The 9,547-nt window shown below is 39.6% G+C and overlaps 1 long non-coding RNA gene across 2 annotated transcripts; it reads right to left on the bottom strand.

The window, feature by feature from the left end:
• Positions 1–928: 928 nt before the first annotated feature.
• Positions 929–5,697, bottom strand: LOC105379119 (uncharacterized). 2 transcript variants are annotated; one of them, XR_948666.3, is made up of 3 exons: positions 5,579–5,697; positions 1,672–1,751; positions 929–1,403 (listed from the first exon to the last, which is right to left on the bottom strand). It is a non-coding gene; the product is annotated as an uncharacterized LOC105379119 (long non-coding RNA). The 2 variants fall into 2 exon arrangements; XR_948667.3 differs by having other exon boundaries at positions 1,677–1,751.
• Between the last annotated feature and the right edge of the window lie 3,850 nt (positions 5,698–9,547).

The following is a 9,547-nucleotide window of genomic DNA, read 5'->3' as shown; positions in this document are numbered from 1 at the left end:
GCACAAGCTGGACCCATGAACTTTCTGGATTCACATTTTCACTTACAATAGGCAAAACTTTGACAACCTCAGATATAAGTGATAGAAACAGAAGTTTTTCAGTAACTTTTTTGGGAGGTATGTGACCAGTGGAGATACGTTCAAACTCCTGTCCCAAAGCAGAAGGGGGCCCACAGTACTATCTCTGGCTGGGCATTAGAGCCTTATGGAGGGGTTGCTCTGCAGGCTAGAAGTATAGGTACAGAAGGTAGCACCTGGGCCTAGAGACTGGATATGTGAGCAGGCTAGCCTGCTAGAGTTGTCAATCTAAAGACAACATGGTGAGGCCATAGTGAATCTAGAGCATGAGATCAAGTCCAGCAGTTCCCTGAGGTACTAAGGCTGACCACAGGACTCATAATATTGTGCACAATGGACAAGGCCTGCAGAGAGCCAGGAGTCATGACAGTTGCACTTTCAGTCATGCAATGTAATGATGGACCCTTCAGCAAGCCTGCAAATAAGACAGGAGACTCTCCAGGAAATGGGTGCCCACCTGGGTCAGGCACACTGGTCCGGCTATGGAGATTCTGAAATTTGCATGTGCCACCACAGGATGAAGCTGTTGCCCTGCAACTCAGTGGGGTTGTGCCAACAGGAAAGGCTCACTTGGTAGCATCATGGAAGCAGGTTGTTCAAAGAAGCATTTGTTAGAAGGTGAAGGGGAAATGCCTAAATTCTCCTCTGAGGCCTAAAATCAGAGCAGGGAGAAGTGCTGCTGGCATTGCCGAAGGAATTTTAACCAGTGGGGGACAACAAGAGAGACTGAAAAGTGCAGCCAGGTCCATCCTGTGCCTGGAACAACCTGTAGGTCACAGAATCTACACTTTCTTAGTGACACAGTGTAATACAGTTAGTCCATCATGTTATCTAAGAACTCTTGTGGGGATGGGTACTGAATCTTACTTAGTTTATTGGTGTGAGTACTTTTGAAGTGAACAGACTAGTATTAAACTGCTTTGCTACCCCATTCAGAGAAATGCACAGGATTCTGAGTAGAAGCTTTAGCCAACAGAAGCATGACACCTCTGAATGTAACCGAGCCTTTTTTCCTTTCATTCTTTTTTGCTGGCATTTTTAACCCATGAATCATGAAAAAAATTTCCCCCTAAAGATCACTGTTTCATTAAATAGATAACCATCTTCCAGCCAACTCTGAGATCTGTCTGCCCATGGCCACAATGTCCAGATGCTAGGTTCCATCACTGTAATCTGGAGACACAGGCATCCATGCAATTCTTCCCCTGGTTCATAATGATATTTTGAAATACAATCTGCTATTTAAAACAGCTGTTGTTGATTTACTTGGGACACATGCTGATTTTACGTCAAACAGAATGTCATGTGAACTTCTCCAAGGAGTCCTAGGGAAAAAAAGAAGAGCACAGAAGATAAGAACAGCATTTATAAATGTTTGCCTACGTTGGAATCCCCAATATAAAATTTTTTGACACTCTGAGAAATAACATACCTATGTAACTGACTTAATATTTCTTATTCCATCCTCCAATCTCCTATGCTGATATGAGCAAGGAGAAAAAAGAAAAAAATCCCCTACTGACAGTGAAATGCTTGTTACACTGATGAAACCTTTGATAAATACTAAAAATATATATATTTTAAGGGACGTACCTTACCTCTTCAAGTCTTCTACTTCTGTTCCATCTTCTTTTCCCCTCAACCTCAACTAATTTCCATCATCATTATTTTCCCTGAAATTAATGCAAATTTATCTGATTTTAAAAAGATTTCTTGTGTAAAAAGCACTTCGAAGGCATAAAATGGGAATGGGGGCTTCCTTTTTCGCTTCCTATCTCCAGTAGCTAGCACAGAGCCTGGCATGTATGGGCATTTAACAAATTCCTAAATAATTAAGTTGAATAAAGAGTGCGGTTAGTACCCCAGAAAGGAGGAGCTGAGGACTCCCTAAGCAGAAATTAGCCTCTCCTTTAACATTATCCCCTCTCTCCTGCAGGTTGATGTTTATCTCCACGGTCCAGCTCTGTGATCACCTCCCTCATCTTGCCAGTCACCATCAGTAGGCCCCCCACCTTCCAGCACTGGGCCTCTCTGCTCTGCCTTGAGGTGTTATATCAGTCTGTGCCCCTGACTCTCAGTTCTGCTTTCTTCAATGTACTGGAGCCAACTCTCACCCTGGCTGGCTCTTTCACCAGCTCACCTCCATTCTCACCCTAATTGCTTCCATCCGCAGTCCCTACACTGACACATCCGTGTTTCAGGAAAGTGAATTACAAAAGAACCCAGGTTGGTTTTCGTTTGTTTGTTTTGTTTGTTTGTTTGTTTGCTTTTTTCAATTTTGCCCCAAAAGCCCATTCCAAAGCACATCCAAGTGGTCAGTTTCCCTTGTGGTGTATCCTTGTGATGTATTGGCATATCTAGGACTCCTTAGGGAGAAAAAAACCGCAGGAGTTATAAAGAATCAGCAACTACACAAACATGGCTACTGAACAACACTGTGAGAACAAACAGTAGTGCACTGGAGTTAGCCAACACAGCAGGCATTTTCTGATTCCATAAGGAAGACCTGATGTCCTTATGCATCAAAAGTTAAACATGACAAAGAGATTTTCAAAGAAATTTAGATGGTATGGTGAATTAATAAGATTTTTTAAAGTCACTATGAAGCATCTACTATATGCTAGTCTTATTTCAGATGCTGAGGATACAACAGTAAACTTCGCTTTCAGGGAACTTACCTTTACTTGGAAAGACTGAGAAAACAAAAAACAAAAGCAAGTTAAAAACAAAAAATAAATGATGTAACTTTAGACACTAATAGATGCTCTAAAGGAAAATTAATCAAGTTGAGAGATTGTGGCGACACAGCCGGGACTCAAGGACCATTTTAGGTCAGATGCTCAGGGAAGGACTCTGGATAAAATCCTTCAAAATCTGGAAGAGAAACTTCAGGCAGAGGAAACAGGAATTGCAAAGAGCCTGAGAAGAAAATAAGCCTGGCATGTTTAAGGAACCCAAGAAAGCTCAGATGACCAGAACAGAATGTGTAATGGGGACAAAAATAGAAAATAAAATTAAATCTGATGTGAGATTTATTGGCCAGTGTAAAGAATTTGAGTTGGAGGATTTTGAATGAGAAGTGAAAGAATCTCTTTGAGATTTTAAAAGATCTTTGAAGGTGATGTGTGGACACTGGATTTTGGGCAGTCTAGAGTGAAAGCAAAATCCATTACAAGACTTTCACCCTAGTCCAAATGAGAGATGATGGTGACTTAATAGAATGATAGAATAGGATATTAATGACTTAATAGAATGATCAAGTGATAGGATAGTAGTCATGAACTTGGTGGAGAATAGTTGGATATATAATTTGAAGAATGGACAGGATTTGCTGATGGGTAGGATTTAGGATATGAAGGAAGAAGATTCAAAGTTAACTCCTGGAACTTTGGCCTGACTAACTGAATAGATGTACTGAACATGCTAAGTTTGAGAAACTTATTAGATAGACACTGGCAATGCCACAGAGGCACCTTGATGGGAGTTTGTAATTCAAAGGACAAGTTGAGGCTGGAGATAATATTTACAGCCATGAAACTGGATGGAGTCACCTAACAATACAGAGAAGACAAAAATCTGATAAATAAGCCCCCCCAAACTCCAAAACAGTGATCAGAAAGAAGATAAGGAACCCATAGAGAAGCCTGAAAAGTAGTTGAGGAGACAGAATGAGTATGAGAAAATTGTCACAGCCTGGAGGTCAAGTGAAGAGTGTTTCAAGAAGTAAAAAATTGTGTCAAATGATGCAGAGAGTTGACGAAGAATGAGTGCTGTAAGGTGATCACTAGATTCAGCAATGTGGAAGTCACTGGTGACTTTACCAGAACAGGTTCAAATGAGTGATGAGAACAAAGCCTGATGAAATGAGTTAAAAACAGACTGGAAGATGAGCAAGCAGAAGGACAGTATAGACAACTCCATTGAGTGTTTTGTCATGGAGGGGAGCAGTGCAAGTGGGCAGTAGGTGGAGAAAGACATGGGACTGGGAATTAAAGTTCTTTTGTGTTTGTTCTTTTAACATGAGAAATATTAAGAGTTTTTGTATACCCATGGGAATGATCCAGTTGATGGGGAATATTAATGATACAGAACACAAGATGAACTTCTGGAGTTAAGTAAGTAAAAGGAGATGAGCTGCAGTTACTAAGTGAATAGAGAAATTGGCTTTTGATAGGACAAATTGTTCTAATCTAAATGCTTTTCTTTCAGAAGAAAATACATTAATTGCTCCTTTTTTTCCTCCCTTAATAAATACAACCTTGTGGGTTAACTCTAAAAGAGAGTTACTACCTTTTCACACACCAGAAAGCTAAAATAACACAGTCAAGTGATTTGTCCAAAGTCACATACAGCCAGGCCTCATTCCCTGAGTTTCTGATGCCTTATCAATGGTTCTTTCTGCCTTTCTACACAACATGTGTGTGAGAGTCAGGCAATGGAAATGTCACTCTCAAGGGCCGATTCAAAGTCACAGGTTTAGACCCTCGTGGAAATTAAGTAAGGCAAACTTTTGACAAATTCATTCAAAAAAACTGTTTTCAACTTCAATCTGCACCTGTCTTTTCCCCAATCAGCCTAGATCAGAGATTCAGAGCTGACAGATGGTCTTTATGACTTATCAAGGCAGCACTCCTATCCCTTCTATTCTGCCAGTCCTTCCAGACGGATTTTTTTCTCAAATGGCAGTCTTATCAAGGATATAGTTTATTCTGCTAGCAAATAGCCAAGGGACAGGCTAGAAACAGATAGGCAGCAGAGGGAAGATGGTCTGGAATTATCAATTTGCTGGGCCTCATGCTCAAACGCATAATTAACAGTTGATAATTGTTCTGGGTTGGGCAGAGTCCTATAATGGTTAGATCAAGGCATAGTTTACTGTACTTAAATCTGGGCATTTACAATTATTCTCCCCTTAATATAAATTAGGAAGTTGGAAGCTCTCTCTCTCAAACAGATTTCTCTCTCTCTCTTTTTTTTCTTTTTTAACAACTCTACTACCACCTAACTTGCCCTTTAAAAATATGCTCAGATTCTTCCAAGGATAAGAGTGAGAGACAAGAGGATATGAATCCAAAAGGTGGTTTCTGCTGTTTTGCCACATCTGCTCAAAATTCCACAGCTGGCACTGCCTCCTAGAGATTACCAGAATGACTAATGATTCACACAGCTCCCAGTCTTAAATGTGCTCGGGAAAATGTTCAGGGATTTGACCACAGCTTTTCAACATCAAGAATGAGAGGTGTGAGAGCTCCCAGACATCAGCTAGTTCATCTCTTGCCAGATCTGGATTTTTCCCTTCTGGATAAGATTCTAGCAGATGCTTTAGCTAGTCTTGTTTTAAATATCTTAAAGGATGGCACTCCCTCCGCTTTCCAAGGGTAAGGCTTTTTCACAGTCCAGTGGATCTTCTCACCAGTCTGTGTTTTCCAGAAACTTGCCTGAAATTTATCTTTTGTTAATTTCTTAACATAACTCATGTTTATTCACTTTGGCAACTCACCTGCAAGCAGCATCTCTCCCTCATTGGCAATTAAGCAACTAAGTCTACAAGCGAGAGATCATCAGCCAATGTCTTCCCTCTATTTCTTTTTCTTGCTGGATAAATCCAGCATGCCAAGAAGTTCTGTGCACTGAACACCCAGTGGTTTTCTGTTCATTTTACTCTGTCTCTTCAATTATTACCTCATCACTCTCAGCCACCGCGTGGACTGTTCCTATCTACCAAGCTTGGCAGGGGACTCAAGTATCAACACAATGCAGTCATTCTCACTGATTCCTGGCCCTGACCCTACAAGGATTCACAACAAATTCCATCCTGTCACAGATTGCAGCATGGGGATGGTTAACAGAAGATACACACTGCATCAAGGTCAATGTAGAAGACTCCAACCCATCACCAAGTGGCTCCATGTTTTCTGCTGTGATGGTATCTTGTCCACGCTCATGCCAGCCTCTCTCTACGCATCAAACCCACTGCTACTTTTCTTCTAGCCCATTCTTCTCACTCTAGATGCTACTTTTGGGCCCCTTAGCTCTTCACTTCCAAATTTTCTCTCAACCTTCTTCTCTTTGTACCTCACAGCTCTCATTTGAAACTTGCTGCATATTTTCCCAGCTGAATATGTTAATCACATTCATCTTTTCCTCCTCTGCTGTAGACAACCCTGTGGGCTAAATAAGTCATATTATTTCTTTCACTTTTTCACATACTGGAAAATTAAGACAGCATAGTCAAGTGACTTGTCTCAAGTCACAGCTAATATCAGGTTCGGAGCCAGCACTCATACCCTGAGCCCTATCCATAGTTCCTCCTGATTTTCTACACAACACATGCATCAGTGACACACAATGGACACAGGCTTTGCTATTGACTCCCCTATTATTCCAGGAAGGTGCTACATACCTAAATATACTTATTTTACATGCTGTAAAAAATCAACTTTCTAACTTTCCTTTTTACAAGAATTGTGTCTTGGATGTTATTTTAAATGATTAAAAGCAAAAGACAAGTATAGTCAACAGTAATTTATTGTACTTTTAAAAATAACTAAAAGAGTATAATTGGTATGTTTGTAACCCAAAGCAATGATAAATGCTTGAGGTGATGGATACTCCATTTACCCTGAGGTGATTATTACATATTGTATGCCTATATCAAAATAACTCAAGTGCCTCATAAATAATACATCTACTATGTACCCATAAAATTTAAAAATACTTATTTTTAAAAAAACAAAGGAACAGTTTCTTGCAAAGTTAAATCACTTTTTTCCCTTTGCATTTAGACCAAATATATTTTGCTATGCAGAAATGCCTAAGTAAATTATGTGATAACTGAAAAGTAGTTTAATAGAATTTACATTTGATTTTTTAAAAATCCATTAAGCTAAGGATTTATAAAGACATTTTTTCTTCTGCTCAATACTTGCCTGAACAAAACACCCACCCAGCCAAAATCAAACAAAAAGCTTCTTTTGTCTTCATGAACTGATGTCACTTGAGTTGTACTACTTTAGAATCCACAGGACTAGAGTGAAAAAACAAGCAACTGGAATGTGAACAACATCAGGGAGATGTGACTCACATACCTGCTTACTGGCTATTAGACCTCTTTAAATTTCCCACACAATATGAACTACGGTCTGCTTCAATTTCCACACTGTATTTTAAGAGTTTTTGCTTCAATACTCTAGTATAATTTCTAAAAACACAAGGCTTCACAGCTATGGCCAACTGCTTATCCCAGGCAAATTAAATTAAGCCCCTGGCATGCAACTTAAAGTTTGTTTCGCCTAATTAAGCAGCTAATGGGTATGGATGAATCTGAGGTGCAGATAAAAATATGGTTTTCAAAGAGCCTTTCTGATTACCATGCTCTGAAATGAGCAAAGAAAAATATTTATGCAGCCATTTTTATAATCATGCTCAAATCCATTCGTTAAGCTCCTGGGAAGATTTCAGAAAACTCTGTCCTATCTTTCCATGAGGTGACCTGCTCATTGCTAAAGAAGGTTAAAATCCTTCACCAGCGATTTTCTGTATTGTGTCAACACCCAGTCATCTTTAATATGACTTGTGGAAAAATAACCTCTTCCTATTGCCAACATGTGTCTTCACTCAAGGACTGTGTGGGTCTCTATTCCAATGAAGCACCATTCTAATAAAGTGCCTCATCTAATAAATGGCCCTGGTGCTGCTGTGCCACTGCAACAACTGTTAGTGGGATGGAGGAGAGAAGAAACAAATAAATAGTTGGGGAGGAGTCTCTGAGACATCAACATTCTGGAACGTGTATTATTTCCCTATCATTTTGCTGTGTTTTCATGTATTAAATGTCAGAGAAGATGGCCCTCTTTCCCAGTGAATCTCCTTTTCATTGCATCTTTTTAAAGTAAGCTTTCATTAACAACAAAGCAAATACATGTGTTATTTTCCAAAACTTACAATCATAAAATAAACTTCATGCCATGTTAAAGTCAGTTAAACACTGGGGCTCGGTGGCTCACTCCTGTAATCCCAGCACTTTGGGAGGCAAAGGTGGTCAGATCACTTGAGGCCAGGAGTTTGGGACCAGCCTGGCCAACCAGCCAAAATCCTGTCTCTACTAAAAATACAAAAATCAGCCAGGTGAGGTGGTGCATGCCTGTAATCCCAGCTACTCGGGAGGCTGAGGCACGAGAATCACTTGAACCCAGGTGGTAGAGATTGCAGTGAGCCAAGATCACGCCATTGCATTACAGCCTGGATGACAGAGAAAAAAAAAAAAGTCAGTTAAACAAAATTTTGAAGACAACTATTTTAAATGACAGCTATCATTGTGACAGATTTATCTCAAATTCTATCCATTCCATCCATTGTCCTTGTAAACATGGGCATTTTGGGGGAGGGGGGTTCTGTGTGTTTTTCTTTTTCTTTTAGTTTTGATTTTCTTCTTAGATCTCTTACCCATTTGTAATAAGAGAGTGAAGAAATACCATGGATATAGACGAAAAAAACCCAAGGCCACAGCAAATGTTCCAGAGGCATCTGAAAACTGAAGTCAGGTTACTGTGTGGATAATTCTCAAGCAAATGGATGCCTTTATGGTTACTTCATTTGGTCCACAGGTGAACTTGTCACATCACATTTACGGCAAAAAATCCTTTATGTTTCAGGTATTTCCTGAACCTTAAGTGAGTTTCTATTAGACATGTTCTGTTTCCAAGTAATCTGTTTTCCACCCCTGTGTCCAGGAAATGATTATCAGAAAGGAAGAGAGAAAAACGACATCATAATGTAATCTGGCCCCTCTTTTGCTGGGCTAGGAACACAGCATCTGGCAGAGACTTTCAAGTGTCAGATACTACTTTATCCATCTATTTCTGAAGTTCATTTAATAAATAATGGAGACTGATATGAAAAGGCTTCTAGTTCTACCAATGGAAATCCCTCACCCTGGCTATGAAACAAACTTTAAAAAAGAAATTGTGACTTTTCTGATGTTAGTTTGCTTCAGATGAAACTTGTTCTTATTCCTAGCTTGAAGAAGAAAATTTCACCCTTTGCCCCTTTAAGACTGTATAACTTTTCTTCCCACAAACTAACAGTATCTCCACAAGGCACTACTGTCCAGGTTGAGATGAAGGTTCCAGTTGCATTCTCTTCTGGGCGCACGTCATTTTGTTTGCTGTTCACTTATCACATCAAAATGCATAGCAAGTACCAGCTTCCCGTCAGATAACACATATACATGAGCTATATGCACTCATGTGTATACACATATAACTCAATCTAACTTTCCCCTTTCTATAAATTCAAATTATGTTCCCTGATGTGGTCCATCCTGGAGGTCACGCACAGAGCTCTTACCTGAAATGGAAGGGAAGATAGGAAGGAACCTAACACATATTTAGCATCTACTATATGTATATAAAATTAAGACATATATTATCCTATTTTATCCTCACAACAACCCTGTCAGGTATACATT

The sequence above is a fragment of the Homo sapiens genome, chromosome 5 (genome assembly GCF_000001405.40).
Source record: "Homo sapiens chromosome 5, GRCh38.p14 Primary Assembly".
Taxonomy (NCBI): domain Eukaryota; kingdom Metazoa; phylum Chordata; class Mammalia; order Primates; family Hominidae; genus Homo; species Homo sapiens.
Note: the sequence above shows the minus strand (reverse complement) of the source record. Positions and strands in the feature narration are given on the sequence as shown.